Source organism: Homo sapiens, chromosome 11, assembly GCF_000001405.40.
Source record: "Homo sapiens chromosome 11, GRCh38.p14 Primary Assembly".
Taxonomy (NCBI): domain Eukaryota; kingdom Metazoa; phylum Chordata; class Mammalia; order Primates; family Hominidae; genus Homo; species Homo sapiens.
Genome location: NC_000011.10, coordinates 59937286 through 59960966, shown reverse-complemented (window position 1 = coordinate 59960966; position 23681 = coordinate 59937286). Strand labels below are relative to the sequence as shown.

General features: G+C 38.4%; 1 protein-coding gene across 2 annotated transcripts, besides 1 other annotated feature; it reads right to left on the bottom strand.

The window, feature by feature from the left end:
* Window positions 217-511: an enhancer, noted in NCBI's record as "tiled region #15631; K562 Activating DNase unmatched - State 5:Enh". NCBI's record gives its function as "activates a minimal TATA promoter and a strong SV40 promoter by Sharpr-MPRA in K562 cells {active_cell/tissue: K562}" and the evidence as "EXISTENCE:reporter gene assay evidence [ECO:0000049][PMID:27701403]".
* Window positions 3487-22535, bottom strand: OOSP1 (oocyte secreted protein 1). Of its 2 annotated transcripts, XM_047426711.1 has the most exons (6): window positions 22437-22462; window positions 21889-21998; window positions 17939-18120; window positions 15701-15798; window positions 13105-13234; window positions 3487-3772 (listed from the first exon to the last, which is right to left on the bottom strand). In XM_047426711.1, exons 1-6 carry the CDS (start codon window positions 22460-22462, stop codon window positions 3704-3706), a joined length of 615 nt encoding a protein of 204 aa, XP_047282667.1. In that variant the 3' UTR covers window positions 3487-3703. The 2 variants fall into 2 exon arrangements, with proteins under 2 accessions (XP_047282667.1, NP_001382205.1); NM_001395276.1 differs by lacking the exon at window positions 21889-21998 and having other exon boundaries at window positions 22437-22535.
* Between the last annotated feature and the right edge of the window lie 1146 nt (window positions 22536-23681).

The window sequence follows — 23681 nt, the reverse complement described above, 5'->3', positions numbered from 1 at the left end:
CCTAGGGCTATGGTTATACCCAAACACACAACACCTGACACTGAACAGATGCATCCAAAGCAATTTATTGCTGTGTACATTCACAGCCCTGCAGAGGAGAACACCACATAGCACATAGGTCCACGTGAGGACCGCACTTAGGAACAGAGGGAACAACCAGGGACTCTGGGACATAAGCTTTGTAATATCAAGAGGGTGAGGTGACCCCTAGATCCCACAGGAGCGTATGATTGGCTTGTTTGAATAATTCTGCAGGCTGCCAGGGAACTGAAACCCACTGTTGAGAGATAAGCAGGAACTGTATCTGGTCTCCTTGATAAGCAGAGCTGTTTAGTGGGGACCTTATCTTCAGGAGCAGAGGAGGGAGATAAATATGCAGTTATGCCTTTATAGCCCTTCCAGTTTCACCAGATGCCGAGATAGAACATGATACCAGGCTTTAACTATTAGTCCTTACATGACAACCTAGGAGTGAAACTGCCAAACTCCCCCACAGTGGCTGTATTATTTTACATTTCATTTGTTTTGTTTTGTGTGTTTTTTTTTATTTTTTTGAGATGGAGTCTAACGCTGTCGTCCAGGCTGGAGTGCAGTGGCCTGATCTCGACTCACTGCAACCTCCACCTCCTGAGTTCAAGTGATTCTCCTGCCTCAGCCTCCCAAATAGCTGGGACTACAGGCAAGGGCCACCATGCCCGGCTAACTTTTGTATTTTTTGTAGAGATGCGGTTTCACCATGTTGGCCAGGCTGGTCTCGAACTTCTGATCTCAGGTGATCTGCCCACCTCAGCCTCCAAAAGTGTTGGGATTACGGGCATGAGCCACTGCACCTGGCCTTTTGTGTATTTTTTAACTTTTAAGTTCAGGGGTACAAGTGCAGGTTTGTTACATAGGTAAACTTGTGTCATGGGGGTTTGTTGTTCTGATTATTTCATCACCCAAGCATTAAGCCTAGTACCCACTGGTTATTTTTCCTGACCCTCTTCCTCTTCCCACCCTCCACCCTCCAAAAGGCCCCAGTGTGTGTTGTTTCCCTGTATGTGTTCATGTGTTTTCATCATTTAGCTCCCACTTATAAGTGATAACATGTGGTATTTGGTTTTTTTTTTTCTGCATTCATTTGCTAAGGATAATGGCCTCCAGCTCCATCCATGTCCATGCAAAGGACATGATCTTGTTCTTTTTTATGACTGGATAGTATTTCATGGTATATATGTACCACATTTTCTTTATCCAGTCTATCATTGATGGACATTTAGGTTGAATCCATGTCTTTGCTATTGTGAATAGTGCTGCAATGAACATACACATGCATGTCTTTATAATAGAATATATATTATTCTATATTCCTTTGGGTATATACTTAGTAATGGGATTGCTGGATCAAATGGTTTATCTGTCTTTAGGTCTTTGAGGAATCTCCACACCGTCTTCCACAATGGCTGAACTAATTTACACTCCCACCAACAGTGTATAAGCATTCCTTTCTCTCTACAACCTCACCAGCATTTGTTATTTTTTGACTCTTTAATAGTAGCCATTCTGACTAGTGTTAGATGGTGTCTCATTGTGGTTTTAATTTGCATTTCTCTAACGATCAGTGATGTTGAACTTTTTTTCATATGATTGTTGGCTGCATGTATGTCTTCTTTTTTTGTTTGTTTGTTTTTGAGACGAAGTCTTGTTCTGTCACCCAGGCTGCAGTGCAGTGGTGCTATCTTGGCTCACTGCAACCTCCACCTCCTGGGTTCAAGTGATTCTCCTGCCTCAGCCTCCCAAGTAGCTGGGACTACAGGCACATGCCACCACACCTGGCTAATTTTGTATTTTTAGTAGAGATGGGGTTTTGCCATGTTGGACAGGCTGGTCTCGAACTCCTGACCTCAGGTGATTCACCTGCTTCAGCCTCCCCAAGTGCTGGGCGCATGCACTTTGCCCACTTTTTATGGGGTTGTTTTTTTCTTGTAAATTTGTTTAAGTTTCTTATAGATCTGGATATTTGACCTTTGTCAGATGCATAGTTTGCAAAAATTTTCTCCCATTCTGTTTGCTGTTTACTCTGTTGATAGTTTCTTTTGCTGTGCAGAAGCTTGTTAGTTTAATTAGATTCCATTTGTCAATTTTTGCTTTTGCTGCGATTGCTTTTGGCATCTTTGTCATGAAATATTTGCCTGTGCCTATGTTTTGAATGGTATTGCCTAGGTTGTCTTTCGAAGTGTTTATAGTTTTGAGTTTGATGTTTCAGTTAAAGGTGCTATATTCACTCACACCTTTCCTTCCTCTCCGTGAGAGTCATGCACCGTAGCTGCTTCTAATCAGCCATCTTGGCTATGGGTGAAGTAAAACAATCACCATTTTACATTTCTACCAGTAATGTACAAGAGTTCCTATTTCTCTACATTCTGCACCAACACTATTTCTTGTCATTCTTATTATTATTGCATTTGAGCCGTTGTGAAGTGATATCTCATTGTGGGTTTTTACCTACCCATTGCATTACCCTAATGACTAATGATGTTAAGCACCTTTTCATGCACTTATTGGTCATTTTAAAATCTTCTTTGAAGAAATGTATACTCATTCTTCCCCATTTTTTAAAACTGAGTTGTTTGTCTTTGTGTTACTGAGTTGTAAAATTTATTTATATATTATGGATCCTAAACCCTTTACAGATATATGATTTCCAAGTATTTTCTCCCATTCTGCAGGTTGTCTCACTTATTTTTAAAATTGTTCTTTGGTACACAAAAGCTTTAATTTTGATGAAGTCAAATGAACAAGAGATAAAATATGTGTTCAAACATTTATTTAGGCCCCAGTGTTATCATATTGGTGGCTAAGTTATCATTGCTATTCTTTGATTTAACACAGGCTTTTTTCCATTTTTAAGTGAGAGGGTCACTAAGCTCTGTTACCATTCAGGCACCATAATAAGATTATAGATTCTTAGTAGAGGATTTAAATCTAAAAACCTTTACATATAAGTTGCCGCAAAAACATCTTCCCAGTTACATGAGAAATGTTATTACTTGATTAAAACAGAAATTGGTATTCAAGAGCTTGATATAATTAGACCTATTGAACAACTTAATGAAAGTACCAAATGACTCTTAAGTTTCATCTTGGGGTCCTGAAGACATATACAACAACTATCCTCAGGGCTAGTTAAATTCATTCTTTACCTTTTTCATTCTTCTTGCTGATCTAGTTGTAAACCCTAATGTGCCCATCTAGTCTTTGCCATAAAAAATAAGACAGAGAAAATATGAAATACAGGAATTAATGGAACTCCAGGTTGATCCTGATATCAACAGTATATTAAAAGAATTATTAATACATGAATAATGATCTATTTGTCTAAGGATAGCAGGCATCTCCTAATATTTGCAGAGATAAATTATTGTTCTACTAAACAATACAGAATGTGGAATGAAAAGCATCCAGCTCTAGTCAGAACTTAGTGCTTAAGAAAGTGCCCCTTCAGCTCGTTTTCAGAATTTTATTGGAAAATAGGTGGTTGAAGATCCAATGAACACGTATGATGACACATTTTAAAACAGAAACCAGTATCATCATTAAACAGACATTCCAGGATGACATTTAATGTTCTCTCCAAACACAAGTACCTTGGATGGATAAATGAAATTGCAGGGTGTGATGAAGATCTATCATCTCGCTCAACAGCACATGAAATATGCATGAGTCATCGCCTTGGTAATGTTCTTGAGATAAATATTAGCAGATATCTAAAAATAACCTTCACTTTTAAAACCTGAGGGTACAAAATAAATTTTAAGTAGATTCATCAATTACATTACAGTTAAATTTTTACAGAATTCAAAGAAGCATTCAAAGTTTTTAAAAGGAACAAATTTAGGTAAAAGTGAACAGAAAGGCATATTTGTTTTTAAAATTAGATGATCTGTTATATGAAAAAGATACTTGCACACTCATGTTTATAGCCGCACAATTCGCAATTACAAAATCACGGAACAAACCCAAATGCCCATCAATCAACGAGTGGATAAAGAAACTGTTATATATATATATAATGGAATACTACTCAGCCATAAGAAGGAATGAATTAACACTATTCACAGTGACTTGGATGAGATTGGAAACTATTATTCTAAGTGAACTAACTTAGGAATGGCAAACCAAACATTGTATGTTCTCACTTATATGTGGGAACTGAGCTATGAGGACGCAAAGGCATAAGAAAGATACAGTGGACTCTGGGGACTCAGGGAAGAGTGGGAAAGGGGCAAGGGATAAAAGACTGTAAATATAGTGCAGTGTATACTGCTCAGGTGATGGGTGCACCAAAATCTCACGAATCACCACTGAAGAACTTACTCATGTAACCAAGCACCTCCTGTACCCCAATAACCAATGGAAAAAAAAGTCAGAGAAAGAGAAATGGGGTTATAGAACAAGAGGAATGTAAACAAATGAATCTACTTACAGAAAAACAAAAGGCTAAAGCCCACAGTAAGAATCATCTTTTCTTCAAATCAGGGCAGAGGATATACAACAAAATAGGGCTCCTGAGATCTCAGGACTATCTTAAGGCTCTGATGAAAGAAGATGGGAGGGAAACAAGGGGAGACTGGCAGCCCTGCCACTCACGTGATTAACTTAGCCATGACTCCCTGAGGCAAATGTCCTCAGCCAAGGAAACTGCTATTGCTATCATGCTTTTGGTTCACAACCCACCTTGAACTAATACATTTGACAATGAAAATGAATTACTTTAAAAAAAAAAAGAAGAAGAAGAAGGAAAGGAGAGAGGAGAGGAAGGGAAGGAGGAAAGAAAACTGCAAGCCTAATGATGGCATTCTTGGATATCCAATTGCTACAAAAGTAGTTCACCCTCCATTTCTATATCCGCTGGTCACAGATTGGTGTACTAGTCCATTAATCACATGTCATTCTTTGAGTGGCACTGTCTCACAGCACCTAGCACAGCTCCACGTACTTTGTTCTATTCAATAAATGGAATAAATGAAAATAAATAAATAAAAATAGATGATCTGGCCAGGCACAGTGGCCCATGCCTGTAATCCCAGCACTTTGGGAGGCCGAAATAGGAGGATCAGTTGAGCCCAGGAGTCAAGACCAACCTGGGCAACATGGCATAAATCTACCTCTACAAAAAATACAAAGATTAGTCAGTTGTGATAGTGTGAGCATGTAGTCCCAGCTACTCAGAGACTGAGAAGTGGGAGGATTGCTTGAGCCCACTGAGCACTGTTGAGATGTTGAGGCTGCAGTGAGCCATAGGCATGCCTCTGCACTCCAGCCCAGGCAACAGAGCAAGACCTGTCTCAAAGAAAAAAAAAAAATAGATGATCTATTAAACTTGGCACACTGTGTAGGAAAGCAGGAACCCCTAGTAAGTTTTAATTTAATCTAAATCTATTGCTTCTATGATACAACATAATTATTCAAATACCATTATTTAAAAAGCAATTAAATCATTTATTGTATAATTGGGCTTATTCTTTGTTTAAATTTTGTATTTTCCCTGAATATCTTACTATTTCTATCTTCCTAAAAGTCATGGTTTCCTATGAAACGAGACAATGCCAGATTCATAGTATTGTAGTATTAGACAAAAAAAACCATAAAGATATGAAAAATTCATAAAGATATTGGCCCTTAAGAAGTCAATATAAATAATATCCACAATTAGACTGAAAGGATTTAAAAAGATAGTTCATGGTTGATGAAATGCTTTAATAAGCACATTCACTGAAATATTTTATTTTCTATATAATATTGGGTCCTAGATTTCCTTTGGCCAGTTGACGAATTTTATCTCATTCTAATGTAAACCATAATGTGTTTTTTTGTGCTTTCTTCCCAGAAGGTATGCAAATTCTAAAGTATTAGGAAAAAATAGGTAAATAATAATAAAAGTTCTCATGATACCACTACTAGATACAGGCTTAGTTTCATGTTTGTATAGCACCTCTAAATGTTCTCTTTGTCTAACAAAAGGATTCTTGATTTCTGAGATAAATTCTTACAATTTTTTTACATGTTAAAAAAAAGAAGAAGAAAACCAAAGGAGAGCCTGATTAAAGAAAAAAAGGCCTACACCTAAATTGGGCTTCAGAATTTGACAAGTATAGAGGTATACTCAGATAATTCTATATGAGGATCATACATGAATCCTCAAAACTACAGTTTTCTCCCTCCAACCCTCGAGAAGCTTAGTATAAACCCAGGGAAAGAGTAAACTCAATGAAAGATGCTATTATTTTTGTAGAAGAATATGTAGATAGATGATTAGATAGATAGATAGATAGATAGATAGATAGATAGATAGATAAAGTCCCTTCACTTTTCTCTGGTGGAAAATGGACTGAACTTCTACAATTTCAATAATTACATGGAATTTAAAACTACTAGATGAGTGATTTTGCTGTAAATAGAGAAATAAAAACGATACTCTCTGCAGAACTGTCAACATATTCAGAGCAAGTTCTGTGTTCAATTTAACTTAGCATCCCATGGAGCAGGGTTCAGCAAACTACAGCCCACAAGCCAAATCTAGCCCACTACCTATTTTGGTAAAAAAAAAAATTTATTAGAATACATGTGGCCATGCTTATTTGTTTACGTACTGCACATGTCTGCTTTCATGGAACAAGGGCAGAGCTGAGTAGTTGCAACAGAAACTTTATGATCTACAAAGCCTAAAATGCATACAGTTACATTGCACAATGATATTTTGGTCAAGAAGAGACCACATACATGACTGTGTTCCCATGAGATTATAATGGAGCTTCTCTATACACGTGTACCCTGTTTATCTTTTCTATGTTTACATATGTTTTGATACACAGATACCAATGTGATACAGTTGCCTGCAGTATCCAGCACAGTAACATGCTGTTCAGGTTTGTATCCTAGAAGCAACAGGCTATTCCATATAGCCTAGGTGTAAAATGGGCTATGCCATCTAGGTTTGTGTAAGTACACTCTATGAAGTTTGCACAATGATGAAATCACCTAGCAATGCATTTCTCAGAACATATTCCGATTAGTAAGCAACTCATGACTATATTATGGAGACTTTTACAGAACAAGTTTGCCAATCCCTATCCTAGAGCTCAATATGCTTAAGAGGTTTAATTCATTGACTGACAGGCAAGGAACTATTATCTATATTACATGTCGATTTCCTATGTTCTGAAAAAATATATTTGTAAAAATCAGATTAGCCTTGCTTTACAAGGACCTTCTCTGAGGCAGCTGATTTCTGGGCTGCCCAAACAACCCAACCAAGAAAAATAGCAATTGCTCTTGTCTGAGATTTGATGCCACCATCAGTTGTAGGGTACAGAAACATACAAAAAGTCTTGCCATACATTGGTTACAGAACACCCACTTTCCAGAGACTCCGCATTAGAAAGCACATACCAATCATCAACTGTCAGTGCTTTAATTTTGACATGAAGTGAATCAAGAGTACAGTATATGTCAAAGTCTGAAAGATCCAACAAGAACACATCAGTACATTTCTGTCTTAGGAAACAGTTCAGAATCATCTTCCTAGAGAGAAAAAATATATATATATATGAGATCTAAGAGAAATCTTAGAAACAGAAGCAAGGCAGCAAAGTCAGGAGACCAGAGCCTGAGTAGCAGGAAACTGAGCAACAAGGAAGCCAACAGGGGAAAAGTTGCTCTGGGCCCAATTCCTCTAGCAAAAGTCCTTTGTAAGTACTAAAACTCACAACAGCAGGTAGGGAAGCTTAATCTGGGACTCCTGCTCTAAGCCAGAATAATCAAGGGGCTGAAGTAGTTCCTAAGACGAAGGACATTTTCTAGCCATAGGCAGAAGGAAAATCAAACTCACTGGAGGAAATGGTCATGCTTAAAGCATGAAAACAGAAAAATGTAAAAATAAACCAATAGAAAAAGACAGCATACATACTAACCAGAGGAAAATGTGTATTAATATAGCTTCATTAGACATAATGGAAAATGGGAAGGGGCAAGTTCTAACTTACCTAAGAATGCCAACTAATAGAAGGAACGATTGAATGGGGGCAAAGGTGGGGCAGAAATCAATATTTGCAGCCACCACATTAATAATTACTTGGAACAAAAATCAGTGGATGCTAAAACTAGTAAAAATTTGACAAGAAACAGGAATTTTTTGGTTTCAATAGCTTTGGGGGTACAAGTGATTTTTTTGTTAGATAGATGAATTAGATAGTGGTGAATTCTGAGATTTTAGTGCACCCAGGACCAAGTAGTGTACATTGTACCTAACATGTCATGTTTTATTCCTAGCACCCCTCCCAACTTCCCCCTCTTCTGAGTCTCTAAAGTCCATTATATCACTCTGCATGTCTTTGTGTACTAATAGCTTGGCTCCCACTTATAAGTGAGAACAGAGGGTTTTTAGTTTGTCACTCATGTGTTACTTCACTTAGAATAATTGCCTCCAGCTCCATCCAAGTTCCTGCAAAAGACATTATGCCATTCCTTTTAATGACCAAGTTGTATTCCATGGTATATATATGGACCACATTTTTTTTTACCACTCATTTGTCAGTGGGCACTTAGGTTGGTTCCACATCTTTGCAATTGTGAATTGTGTGGCTATAAGCATACATGTCTTCTTCATATAATGACTTATTTTCCTTTGGGTAGATACCAAGTAGTAAGATTGGTAGATCAAATAGATTTACTTTTAGCTCTTTAAGGAATCTCCATATTGAAGAAATAGGATATTTAAGCATCCTCCCAACAAAATACTATTTTTTGCCTCTGATAAATAACTTTATAATAAATAACAAATAACTTTACAACATGACAGGTACCACCTTAACCAAATGCTTTTATAGTAGGTCTTGATATCTAGTGCTCCATTTTAAATATTGATTCATGTTATACCATTGATTCCATTCCATTGATTCATATTATACCAAATATAACATGAATCAGTGAAATGTTAAAAATATTTTTTCTCTTAGCTATTGATTCAAATTAAAGTAAGAAATTACTTGGCTGACCAATCAATCCTTTGGAACTAATCAGGCTGATGAATTTTTGCATTCTGACGAGTTAGGAAGTTTGACTTCTTTTTAAATTATAAAGATGGAAGCATGATTTTGGAAACTTGTCCAAATAGTGGTTGTCAGCTAAAAAAAAAAAAAAAAAAAAAAAAAAACTGTGCCACTGCACTCTAGCCTGGCGACAGAATGAGACTCCATCTCAAAAAAAAAAAAAAAAATGCAGTTCATTTCTTCGACACGCACATTGAGCCTGTCAACAAAAACCATCTCTTTGAGCAAATGTCTGAAATGTATGATTTATACTGCTTGGTTCTCCACACCCAGAAAAATCACAGCAACAAGGAGATGAGCTAAAGCTAACTCCAAGAGAGCCTTCATGATACCAGATCCAAAGCAACAACCTCTCAGGATGCAGACCACAAAATGAAGCCCACCCGCTGCCTCGTGTGACTTTATAGCTCGCAATGAATTCAGGCGCTGTATATGCACACCTTCTAATGCTTTACCATGTACTCAGCCCAATTTTCTAAAAATCCTAGCCTTTCCTGATTACCTGGGCTCTAAAGTTCAAGAGAGTAGGTAAAGTAAGCATGAAAACTGTGCTCAGCGATCTGTCTCTTTTTCAGGTCTATGGTAGTGACAGAAAAGTAAATGTGTATAATTTCATGCCATGTTTTTTTTTTTTAATTTTAGGATCTGTTATTGTGGAGGTAATTTGAGCAATACGAGGTTACCCCACCTGACTTACTGATGTGCCTCAACCTTCTACCCACCTTTTTTTATATTCAGCATTTCAGCAATCCATCTTATCCCTCCACCTGTACACTAGTTTGGATTTTTTTGCAATTTGATAATTTATCATAAATAGCTGTAGTGATTATTATAAATGTTTGGGACTTTTTACTATCATATGATAGTAATGCAGGCAGTTTTTATTTAAGGACACAACTCTGAAGCCAAAATTTCTTAATCATTTCTTAAACATCTGGATCTCTTTAAAAAGTATTCAGAAATTCATGGTAATCTATAAAAAAAAAACTATTACCATGTGCAGGTACTTATCTTATACACTAGTTTCTGTCTCCACTTTCCCCTACAATGACCCCATTTCTATTTTTCTCTTTACAGCCGTACTCCTAGAAAAAGCCACCTGTACTCATACCTTTGGGTTTCTTTCTTCTCATACTTCCTTAAAGCTGACTCAACCAATTTTCACCCATACCTCTCCACCAAAACTGTCTTTTATCAAAGTCATCAATGCCCCTCACATTGCTGGATCTAATGGACAACGCTTAGTTCTCATCCCACTTAACTTTTCAGCAACAGAAGATACAGCTGACAACTCCACCTGCACGGCTCCCAGGACCCCACTCTGCCCTGGTTTTACTTCCAATTGACCTTACTGTCTTCTCTTTGGCTCATTCAAAGGCTCTGCCTTCTCTCAGCAACCTCTTAACATTGGATATGCCAAGACCCAAACCTTGGACTGATTGTCTTCATTTTCCTTACTTCTTTGCTTTGAACTCATGCAATCTTACTGGCTTTAAGTATTAGTATGTACTGATGAATCCTAATGTTCTACATCCAGTCTGGACCTTCTCCCTCTGAACTCTAGACCTCTATATTCAACTACTCACTTGCTCTCTCCTCTTGGAGATCTAAGCAGCATCTTAAACATGGCATTTTCAAAATAAGGTTTCCGAACCAACATCTTCCACATTTTTATCCAAGACAGTAGCATCTCCCACTTTGTAGTAGCTCATAAATCCTAAACTCTCCAGATTCCTCTAACATATTTCATATCTAGCTGTCTGCAAATCTTTAGATCAATTGACCTGAACTCTTCCTATGAAATCCATGCTACATCTAAACCAGGGTTCTCATCCTCAGTGCTATTGACTCTGGGCCCGGAAATCTCTTTGTCATCAGTGGCTGTCTTAGGCACTGTAGATGTTCAGCAGCATCCCTGGGTCTATACAGATGCCAGTAGGACACTAACACCATCACTGTAATGAACAAAGCTGCTTCCAGATACATCCCCCAGAGGGTAAAATTGCCCCTAGCTGAGGACCATTGGCCTTGTAGTCATCACTACCTAATCCTTCTCCCTACTTCAGTCGCTGCTTCCTCTTGGTATCCATTCTCCATCCAGCAGCCAGGGTGATCCTGATCATAAAAATCCAAGTCAGATCATGTCACTCCTCCATTTGGAGCTTTCCAGGGGGTGCCCATCTTATTTCAAACAAAAGCCAAGTGTGTCAATCAACTTTGAGACATTAGATGAGGTACTCCACTCATTGTTTTAGATGTTTCAGTTGTTGTTTTAAGACCTCACCTGTATGACTTTCCCTCTCCAATCATGCTGGCCTTGTTCTGCAAACACTCAGTGACTTTACATCAGCTGTTCCCATATTCTTTTTTTTTTAATTTTATTATTATTATACTTTAAGTTTTAGGGTACATGTGTGAACGGCCTTCCCTCCAGGATCTGCGGGGCTCATTTTCTCACTTCCTTGAGCTCTTTCCTCAATCATCACCTTTGACGGATGCCTTCCCTGATGCCATATTAAGGACCACAACCCTCACCCAAGTATTCCCTGTCTTCTTACTCTGCCTCTGTTCCCTAAGGTGCATTTACTCTTTCTTAAAATACCATAGAGTATGTTTTTTGTGTATACTCTGCCTCCTCCTACTAAAGTGTGAACTCCATGAGGGATTCTTTGTGGAATAAATGAATGATTAGGCACTGTTACCAGGACCAACCACAACTAAGCCTTAGCTAAGGGCATGAATCAGCAACTGAGAAGAGTTAGTAACTGTACCCTTAAAAACCTATTTCTAATGAGCATTGAAGCTTAAAATTACATACAAGTCAGTCTTGCAATAACTAGAAACAGATATATAGTAGTATAAACTTTATTCATAAATAAAACTTCATAAAGTTAAGAGCAGTGGCAGTTCCTATTTTAAAAAGGGAATAGTGGAAGGCAGCCTGCTTTTTATTTAAAATCACAATTTAGGTTTTTCAGATGGATAACAGTTGAGAGCATTAAATCCCCTTCCTGCTTCTCAGATTTTCACAAAATAGCACATTAAATCCTCAGTCCTAAGCAATCATGGCAGAGATTCCAAATTGCCTCTCAATATCAAAGGGGACAGAACAGTTTCTTCTCTTGCAATAAAGGTACTCATTTGATGAACGAGGGAGTGTAGCAGTCAGATTCTTACCAAAATGGAAGAAAGACAGTAAAATATACGTCCCAATGTAAACATTACTTCCCTACTTCTAAGAGCCTGTTATTCATAAGTAAAGCAAAGTATATGTATGGAAATGAAGGAGAAGGTGTAAGTGGGAGGTAAGGGAGGAGAAGAAAGAAAGTATATGTTCTATCCTTGAGACTAATCCTTAAGTGTTTAATGATTCAAGTGTGATGTGTGTATAAGTGAATAAGGATACTTTTGCCCTCTAAGCTATGAAGTACATCCCAAATGTTCTAGGTATCCTGTTTACTCTCTATTAAACACAGCTCCATCCTTTTATTAATAGCCAGATATTAATGTGTGTGGATTTTTCATAATATACCTTCATATGGGGCTCAAGAATGAAAAACTGTACTACCTTACAGTCATTTGGTACTTCCTGGGAAAAGCTGCAACACAGACTTATGACACTTCTGAGTTCACTTTCCCAGGGATCATCAACATATCTAAGCCACTTTGTAGGCTCAGTGTTAATACTCATTTATTACAATTCAGAACTTTATTGATATTGAAATTGATAGGTATTTTCTTTTTAAGTTAATTATAGTATTTCACATAATACCCAAAATGGATAGCTCTTAGTTATATGGGGTTCCCAGTTAGTAACAGATTATCAAGACCACCATGATCAATAAAATCTCCAACAAACATAGGAAATCATGAATTTGCATTCTTGAACCGGAAACATTTTAGGCACAATGCACCTTAACACAAATGTGTGCCATTTCCTTGACAATTGTATTGACTGGTATCTAGGACATACCTGGACAAAAATCATAAGATGCCAGTTTTGAAGGGTTCTTACCAAGATTGTGTTGCAGAAGTTACTGCCCATGTCTTCATTCGCAATGTGTATCCTCACCTCTATCTCCCATTCATTAACATTGTCAGTTTCCCCATCTCTCATTTCAACTGCATTTAAAAGATGATGCTGACTAAAATAAGAGAAGATAGAAAAATATCACATAGTGGTTAAGATCTACTCAGATCCTAGCATTTACAAGGCTGAACTTGGGGCCAAATTCCTGTTATTAGTAGATGTATTGATTTCTGCTTCCCGCCACCACTCCCCAACACACCCCACCCCAGAACATCACAGGCAGTATTTGTGGTGCTAAGAAGCAAAGACTTAAAAAACAGACTTCTGGGTTCACTTCTTGATTCCACCATCTACCAGCAAATGATGTTGACCAAGTAACTTAATTTCTCTGTTTCAATTTTCTCATCCTGAATTTGGCATAATAGTATCTACCACCATAGCTGGGTGCCTATAGTCCCAGCTACGTGGAGACTGAGGAGAGAGACTTCCTTGAACCCAGAAGTTCAAGATCGGCCTGAACAAAATAAGGAGGCTCAACCACTTAAAAATCAAAAAAAAAGAAGAAGAATATCTACCTCATTGAGTTAGCAGAAGGAAAAAATACATTCATACAAGCACAGTGTAGGCATATGGTAAGTGATTAATAAATGTTAGCTGCTATTATAATTATCTGTGGGAAGAGCTCTATGTAATATGGCTCTTCTGTAATTACTCAGGGAAAAAAAATTTCAGTTCAGGATTTTAACCAGAAAAACCTAATTGAAAAATTGTCCAAAGTCCTGCCAAATATATCACACTTTTGCTAAGACCTAATCAAAATGGTTATTAATTTTCTAAATTTTTTTATTTTTAGTTTTTGTGGGTACAGAGTAGATAGACAGATAGATAGATAGATAGATAGATAGATAGATAGATAGATAGATAGATAGATATGGTAGATGAGATATTTTGATACAGGCATATAATATGAAATAAGCACTTAGACTTTCTCAAGATGTCAATTAATAAAAAAAAAAAAAAAGACCCAATCTTAACCCACAAATCCTGTTTTAAGATGTCTCTCTCCCAACACTGTCAGCCCTGCATAGTACATGCTGATCTTGACAACCTGATGAGTTCAGTGTCTTTTAGACTTCATTATGCTTTCTCTATTGCCTTCAGGAAACTTGCATATGGGTTCAAGTTTAAATAACTGAAATAACTTGATTTGGTTGGTGAAAACCTATCAGGTTTTCAGGGACCCTGACACTTATATAGAAAAATAAGTCATCATTTCATTTTTCAATAATATTCCTAGTATTCCTATGTTCTAGGGGACAGTTGTAACAACTTTTGAAGAATACAAGACCAAGTGATATGGTTTGGAATCTGTGTCCCCACTCGAATCTCATGTTCATTGTAATCCCCAATATTGGAGATGGAACCTGGTGGGAGGTGATGGGGTCACGGAGGTGGACCCTTCACGAATGGTTTAGCACGGCAGTCCCCAAACGTTTTGGCACCAGGGGCCAATTTTGTGGAAGACAATTTTTGCACTGATAGGGGGTGATGGTTTGGGGATGCAACTGTTCCACCTCAGATCACCAGGCATTAGATTCTCATAAGGAGTGCGCAACCTAGATCCCTCACATGCGAAGTTCACAATAGGGTTCGTGCTCCTATGAGAATCCAATGCCACTACTAATCTGAGAGGAGGTACAGCTCAGGTGGTAATGCTGGCTTGCTGCTCACCTCCTTCTGTGCTGCCAGGTTCCTGACAGGCAAGGGACCACTGCATGTCCATGGCTCAGGGGTTATGGACCCCTAGTTTAGCACCATCCCTTTGGTGCTGGTCTCATGATACAGTTCTCGGGAGATGTGGTTTTTTAAAAGTGTGCAGCACCTCCCCCGACCACTTCCTCCTGCTCCAGCCACGTGAGTATGCCTGCTCCAGCTTTGCCTTCTGTTGCCTTCCGTTGCCTTCCGCCATGAGTAAAAACTCTGAGGTCTCCCCAGCCATGCTTCCTGCACAGCTTGCAGAACAATGAGCCAATTAAACTTCTTTTCTTATAAATTACCCAGTCTCTGACATTTTTTTTTTTTTTTTTTTTTTTTTTTGAGACAGAGTCTCGCTCTGTCACCCAGGCTGGAGTGCAATGGCACGATTTCAGCTCACTGCAAGCTCTGCCTCCTGGGTTCACGCCATTCTGCTGCCTCAAGCTCCCAAGTAGCTGGGACTACAGGCAACCCCCCACCATGCCCAGCTAATTTTTTTTTTTTTTGGTATTTTTAGTAGAGACAGGGTTTCACCGTGTTAGCCAGGATGGTCCCGATCTTCTGACCTCATGATCCTCCCACCTCGGCCTCCCAAAGTGCTGGGATTACAGGTGTGAGCCACCGTGCCCAGCCAGCATTTCTCTTTATAGCAATGCAACAGAGGACTAAGACACCAAGGATCAAGAGATCTGTGTTCCCATTAGGGTTTGGTGTCTCCCCAACTCCCATCACTGGTTGTACCATTTAACCTTTCAGGTTTGGCATTTTTGTCTGGACAGTAAATGAAGCCAGGGGCTAGGACAGGGGTTTGGCATTCCATACTCACTTGTGGACGACACACGACAGAGGCATTTCAGATCGGACAGTAGAGTCTCTTGAGATATACCTGATTTTAGTTTTAAGCAGAAGAACTTCCTGGAGAGGCTACAAGACAAAGAGAGGTTTTAAACCCATGTTTGTCTCAAGTATCTCAGGAAACTTACAGGCATTTAAATAGGAATTTATAGATACATCAAGCTTTCTAAAAATGGTCACACTCTCACTCAACTATAAATAGCATCTGTTCACAGGAAACAGGACCATTTTCCAAACTGACAGATGGGTTAAAATCTGGCACAGTGCTTGCACATAAAAGGCAAGCAATACTTGTTAGTTAAAAGAGAAAGGAGCTTTGTGATTCACATTCAAGAAAGCAATTGACACCTCTTTTTGAGACACACAGTTGTAGTGATACATTGCTTATTCAAAGCGAGCATGGGCTTTGAGATCATATGAATCACATTTGGAATCTTGGAGCTGCCTCTATTCATCATGAATCCTTGGAAACCGTGTTTAAACAATTAAGTCTGTTTTCTTATTTCTAAAAAAAGCAATAATTATGGTGGTAAAGAATAATAGTGATTAAGTTATCAGCATATAGTAAATACCTAACAGGAAGTATAGCTGTTTTCAGGGGGGTGGGGTGGAATGGAGTTAAGACAATTAATAGTAAAATATTTTTCTAAGAACATTTAGCATATGGTTCTCAATATAAGGCCCAATCTTTGACAGCATAGGAGGATATGATGATTCAGAGATACCCATATTCATTACATAATTTTAAATGTTCCCGTCTCAGATATATCCTGCTCTCATTGGATAATTTGAAAATATAAGCATAGATAAAATGAAATTAACATACTACCACCACCCAGATTATTCAGTTAACATTTGAATATTCCCTGCCCCCCCCCCGCAGTTTATATCAAGGTTGATAGTGCCCCCCTAATACCTGCTGTGGTGTATTAGACCTGTAATGTGCTTCCCAGATCCCCTAAGGGCTTGTTGACCCAGCTGCTAGGAATGCTGTTACCAGATAGCCTTCAGCCTTCAGCTCTCACCCCCTCCAGGAATTATGTAGCTGCTGAGGGCTGTCTTACCCCTGGCCACACCCCTCTCCCAGGGTGGCCCACTTCTGATCACCTACCCAGCAGGAATGTGAAGCCCTGTGCAGGGTCAGCCAAAGCTGTCTCTAAGCCTGCATCACAGCTCAGCTTTGCCCTTTGCCCAATCTTCTTTCTCCCAAAAACACTTCTTAATAAATATTCCGCACACTCAACTCTACCTCAAATTTTGCTTTTGCTTTCTGTGTTACCCAATCTGTGGAATTTATCTAAACCTGATCAAGTTCTATTACTTCTTTTAGCGTTTTATTTGGGATAATGAAAAAAATAAGTAATATCATAGCAAGATTTTACTAACTTTAAAAACTTTTTAAATTAAGTCAAAATTCCAGTTATACTTTTATCAGTGATATGCACAATGACTTAGTTAACCCAAAATATCTGGTGAGTAGGGGCTAGGGCTGGGAGATCACTGAATATTTACTTTGAAAAGGCTTCTGATGCTTGATTAGTGTTACTCCCTCATTCTGGTCGCAATTGACCAAACTTCATGAATTATAATAAATAATTAGTTAGAGAAACTGTTGAAAAACTTTCTGATGCATGGAAAATACTTTCTTCCTTCAAAACCTTCAACTCTCCCGCCTGCTCCATCACTAAATGAATAATTAGTGTTTGCAATTACCACCTAACAAGAGAAAAGCATTTAGCATCTCCTTTCTTAACTGCTTCTGTCCTAAATGTGATCATTAAAGAGTCTAGCCATATTACAAATAGACACTTAATGACTTCTAGTTTGTAGGTATGTTGAAGGAACCATAAGACACTTGGGTTTTTTTGTTGGTTTTTTTTTTATACTTTAAGTTTTAGGGTACGTGTGCACAACGTGCAGGTTTGTTACATATGTATACATGTGCCATGTTGGTGTGCTGCACCCATTAACTCGTCATTTAACATTAGTTATATCTCCTAATGCTATCCCTCTCCCCTCCCCCCACCCCACAACAGGCCCCATGAAGCTAGAAACCATCATTCTTAGCAAACTATCGCAAGGACAAAAAACCAAACACCACATGTTCTCACTCATAGGTGGGAATTGAGCAATGAGAACACATGGACACAGGAAGGGGAACATCACACACCTGGACACTTGGGTTTTAAGTAAGATAGCCATTTCTTACTTGAGTTACAATACCACAGTCATGAGGATGGTAGAAAAACTCATAGTAGACATTTGGCAAAACATGGGTTACATGGCAGCCATCTCCTAGAAACACTTCATCGGGGTTCACATACAAATTGTAAAATATCGTGGGTTTAATCCTGGCAAAGAACCAAAACTGGGTGCAGTGTACTTGAATAGCTGAAAAGCAGGAAAAAGAAATTTTGTTAGTATGCAATTACATAGATCAGCTCAAAAAAATTTAGCATACCCTGTTAATACAAATGAAGAGATCATCCCTTACTAAAACAAAATGTCTTAAGAGGTGAACAAGTTTGCAAAACATGGTCTCTGAATTATTACTTCATCCCCTAAAAATATCCACACATATACTCATTCTTCAAATACATTCTTTAGTGAATCTATATATAGGGGGGAAAAAATCAATACAAAATAAGATTTCATCTAACCCTCCAAAGTCACTTATTGTAGAGCTAGAATCACAAGACTATATCTATATTATAATGTTTATACTAAGTATAGAGCATTTTCTGTCTCCCTTGTTCAACTGAAGCTCTTTGACGCAAGCCCTTCCATTTCTATGGAAGCAAGCAGTTTCCATTTTTATACCCACAGTTTCATGATATATAAAGACTTGTCCACAAAACTCAAGCTAGCAAGCAGGCTTTTATAGAAATTGAGTAAAAACAGTGCTATCCTTTCCCTTCTATCTTGAAATATCTGGACATTAAGTTTTTTTACTCTGGAAATGGAAATAATTTTCTGATACAATCTGCTGCTTGAATTAGGTCCCAGGGAAAGAGAATTAGATCAAACTAGAAATTATGAGACTGGGTAGGCATGAGTTTTTTTGTTTTTGATTTTTTAAGAGTAAGTTTGGCTATTCTTCTAGACTTCACTAAAGGAAAATTTTATCAGTTGCTCTTAAGATACTAGAAGGAGCCTGAGTTCTCAGGAGATACTGAAAACTCAGCGGAGAAACCAAAGGAATATAAATCTGCAATCCTTTCACAGAAGGGGCTATACATATTGCAAATAACTATATGAAAAGATGTTTAATATCATCAGCCATTATGGAAATCCAAATTCAAATCACGATATTACTACACACCTATCACAATGGCTAAGATGAATAATAGTGAAGACACCAAACGCTGGTGAGGATGCCGAGAAACTGGGTCACTCATACATTGCTGGGACAATGTGAAATGTATCAACCACACTAGAAAACAGTTTGTCAATTTCTTTAAAAACTAAACATACAACAACCATATGACTCAACAATTAAACTCTTCGGCATTTATCCCAGGGAAATAAAAATGTATGTTCACATAAAATGTACATAAATGGGCTGGGCGAGGTGGCTCACTCCTGTAATCCCAGCACTTTAGGAGGGCGAGCCGGGTGGATCACGAGGTCAGGAGTTCAAGACCAGTCTGATCAACATGGTAAAACCCCATCTCTACAAAAAATACAAAAATTAGCCAGGCATGGTGGCACGTGCCTGTAATCCCAGCTACTCAGGAGGCTGAGGCAGGAGAATCATGTGAACCTGGGAGGCAGAGGTTGCAGTGAGCCGAGATGGTGCCACTGCACTCCAGCCTGGGCGACAAAGCTAGACTCTGTCTCAAAAAAAAAAAAAGTACATAAATGCTAACAATAGCTTCATTTATAATAGTCAAAAACTGAAGACAGCCCAGATGTCTTTTGGTGGGTGAATGGTTAAACAAACCATGGTACAATCATGCCATGGAATTCCACTCAGCAATAAAAAGAATCAAGTGTTGATACACGCAACATCTTGGATGAATCTTCAAGGAATTACACTGAGTGAAAAAAAACGCCAATTCCAAAAGGTTACAAACTCTGAGCCCATTTATATAACACCCTTGAAATGACAAAATTGTAGAAATGGAGAACAGATCTGTGCTTGACAAAAATTAAGGAAAACGGAGACAGAAGGTTTGGCATTAGTGGTTCAGGAGGAAAGTAGAAGTGGCTCTAAAAGTGGCATCCTGATTACAATAGAAATGTCTGTCCTTTGGCTACATCAATATTAATATCCCAATGTAATACTGTATTATATTTCTGCAAGATGTTACCATTGTGTGAAGCTGAATAAATAGTATAATTGATCTCTGTATTATTTCTTACACTGCATGTGAATCTACAATTACCTAAAAATAAGACGTTCCTTAAATGTAAAACCAGTTATTCATATCCACATTAGCAAAAAGTAAGACATCTGTGAGCACCAATTAGAATTAAAGAACAATTGAGCAAGAGAGTTACTTTTCAGATCTGTACCTGTGGCCTCACAGTCCCATTCCTAGATATGCACACACAAAAAGAAACCACTCAAATACAAACATTATTTGTAACGGCCCCACACTAGAAAAATTCTATCAATGTGAGAACAGAAACAATTTGCAATGCATTTATTCACTGGACTGCTAAATAGTAATTAAAATATACCAAAGCTACAAATGTAAATCTCCAAGTGATGGACAACAAAAAAGCTGTAGAATTAAATAGAAATAGAAGATAAATGCCTGCGAAACATATTTACAGATCCACAAATTTGACGTAAAATTGTAAAACACACAGGAAAATGAATAATTACCAAACTCACATATGGGCAAAGAGGGAAGAGAATAGGATCAGGAATGACCACAGGGACTTCAACTCTACCTGAACTTTTACTTCTATTAGAAAATAAAATGTAAGCAAATGTAGCAAATTATGGATTTAATAAAGCTGAAGAGCAGGTCAGTGAATATTGATATTATTCCTTATAGTTACCTGCTTTTTTAAACTTAGTTATCCATTTTAAATAGTTCCTAATAAAAGAAAGCATAATGAATACACTAAGATTCTAACATGTACCCATGTCAGGTCTAGGTTGTCTTGTTGAACGGGTAGCTTGACAAGTATACACAACCTTTCACTGCAATTCCGAAATCTTAACCTTAGAAATTGACAGCCCAGGCAGGAAGCAGTGGCTCACGCCTTTAATCCTAAAGCTTTGGGAAGCCAAGGTGGGAGGATTCCTTGAGGTCAAGAGTTGGAGACTAGCCTGGGCAACATAGCAAGTCTCTACAAAAAATTTTTTTTTAATTAGCAGTTCACAGCTGCAGTGAGCTACGATGGCACCACTGCACTCCAGCCTGAGTGACAAAGAAAGAAAGAAAACAAAAGAAAGAGAAAGAAGAGAAAGAGAAGAGAAAGAGAAAAAGAAAAGAAAGAGAAAGATGAGAAAGAGAAGGGGAAAGAAGAGAAAAAGAAAAAAGAGAAAAAGAAGAGAAAGAGAAAGAGGAAGGGAAGAGCAAGGGACGAGGAAGAGGGAACAGGAAGAGAAGAGGAAGAGAAAGAAGAGGAAGAGAAAGGGAAGAGTAATAGAAAGGGAAGAGGAAGAGAAAGGGAAGAAAAAAAAGAAAAAGAGAGAAGGAGAGAAAGAAAAGAAAACAGAAAAAAGCATTCAGCACAGTGGCTCATACCTGTTATACCAGCACTTTGGGAGACCGAGGTGGGCAGATCACTTGAGGCCAGGAGTTTGAGACCAGCCTGGCCAATATGGTAAAACCCCGTCTCTACTAAAAATACAAAAATTAGCTGGATGTGGTGGTGCACATCTGCAGTGCCAGCTACTTGGGAGGCTGAGGCACAAGAATCACATGAACCCGGGAGGCAGAGGCTGTAGTGAGCCCAGATCATACCACTGCACTCCAGCCTCGGTGACAGCGAGACTCTTGTCCCAAAAAAAAAAGAAAGGAAGAAAAGAAGGAAAGGAGGAAGGAAGGGAAAGAAAAGAAAGAGGGAGGGAGGAGGGAACGAGGGAGAAAGAGAAAGAAAGGAAGAAAGAAGGGAGGAGAGAAAGAAAGGAAAAGAGAAAGAGAAGCAGAAATAGAGGAAGAGAAACTGACAGCCCAAGTTTATACTCAGGGCTACCAATCATTCTGGTTTGCTCCGAACAGGAGGTTTTTGGGGCCGACGCAGGAAAAGTACTGGGAAAACCTGGACCACTGCTCACCTCACTTAGGGGGCACTGACTGCTCCCTCTGAAATGAAAAGGATCTATGAAGTATAAGGTAAAGAAAGGCTAAGCCTTATAAGGCTTTCTTCCTGTATGTGACACACCACAGAGTCCCAAGTTCCTACCACCACCCACTCCTCTGTTTTCCAGGCCACTCCACACTCTTTATATTAAACCCACTTCAAGTACTTGATCCCCAAGAATTGATATGGTCAGAATAAGATCAAAAGGAAAGGGGAGTTGGAGAAAGACAGTCTCAGGTTAGGGCACATTCCCTAGTCTCAGTGCCGGTATGCAAGAGAAAAACATGGTATCTCAAGATTGCACATCGAAAAGAGGCACCACCCCTCCATGTGTCCTTGGCTATTATTAAGATTCAACCAGACCACAACTGTAAAGAATCCAAAGCCACATCTTTCAGCTCTCTTTAAGAAACTTCTATTCCCCAAGTGATAAGTTATACCTGACCAGTCCCCAGCGCAGGTCCATATCAAGGAATGCAGATAAAAGAGCCCTTTGAACCCCAGAATGGTCTTCATTTGCCCAGATTGAAAACCAAACCTCACTCAGGAAACAGGAAGTTGGGGAGAATAGCCTTATATGCCAAAATGCCTGAAGCCACACATAGGTGTGGGTAATTAATTACAACTTTGGACAGCACACACGTGCCATAAATATAATTTTGTTTCATTTTCTAAGATGTTACACTTTTTACTCAAATGTCAAAAAACAAGAGCAAAGATAAAGCAAAATGTGCAATAGAAGTACAACAGAAGGCTTCACTTGTTTTAGAGTCCAAAGCATCAGATATAGTTATTTTTATGCACTAAGGTTTACTTTATTAAAACTTCCTAATATCCTATAACATCTGTCTCCACATCTGAACACGAAAGAAATAACTGGATGATAATTTACTTGTTCTGTGCATCTCAGAAGGCCAAGCCCTGAGAACATGGGAATTGAAAGATTTCATCTACTTTCACCTGTTTTCACCAACTAAACAGTGGTACTCAAACTTAATAGATATCAGAATCACCGGGAGAGCTTATTGAAGCACAGCTGAGTGTCATTTAGTTTTCTGATTCACTAAGACTGGGCTGGGACCTGAGAATTGATGTTTCTCACAAGTTCCCAGGCGATGCTCATACTGACCACCCAGGGACCACACTTTGAGAATCCCTGGTCTACAGGGTTTTGCCTTCAGAGTGCATGCTGTGTTGATGCCCATTAGCAGCGATGTTTGCTTCTCAAACTTTAAGGAGCATATACATCACTTGAGGCTCTCTTTACAATGCAGATTCTAATTCGGAATGTCTGGGGTGAAGGCTAAGATTCTGCATTTTAAGATTGCAGGGATGTTGCTCTGGAGACTACGTTGTGAGTAGCAATGCCTGTAAATGGTTACTCACATTTAGATTCCTTTCTTCAAAACAGAAGATGCCAACTTAAAAATGAGAAATTCAAAATCTCATTACCAAAACAAGCCTAAATGAATGTTTGGTTCAAATATATTCTGATTTTTTTCGCTAATAACCAGTTATTAGAGTTTAGCAACTGTGTCCTACGTTAATAGAACGTGGAAAGTAGGAGCTTACCAAAAACAAATAGAAAAGACTATATAAATGCATTTAACTATCCTTGATATTATCTGAATTTTATCATTAAATTTAGTCTGTTCTAAAAGTTCTAAAATGCCATTAAATGATGA

Excerpts from the sequence above, each read along its gene's own strand:
- OOSP1 (XM_047426711.1), bottom strand. The coding sequence starts at position 22,462 with ATGGACCTGCGCTGGGGACTGGTCAG. Across the intron at positions 18,121-21,888 it reads GGAGCAAACCAGAATGATTG|CTATTCAAGTACACTGCACC; the intron begins GTAGCCCTGAGT and ends CCTGCTTTTCAG. Across the intron at positions 13,235-15,700 it reads CTGTCGTGTGTCGTCCACAA|TCAGCATCATCTTTTAAATG; the intron begins GTGAGTATGGAA and ends CTCTTATTTTAG.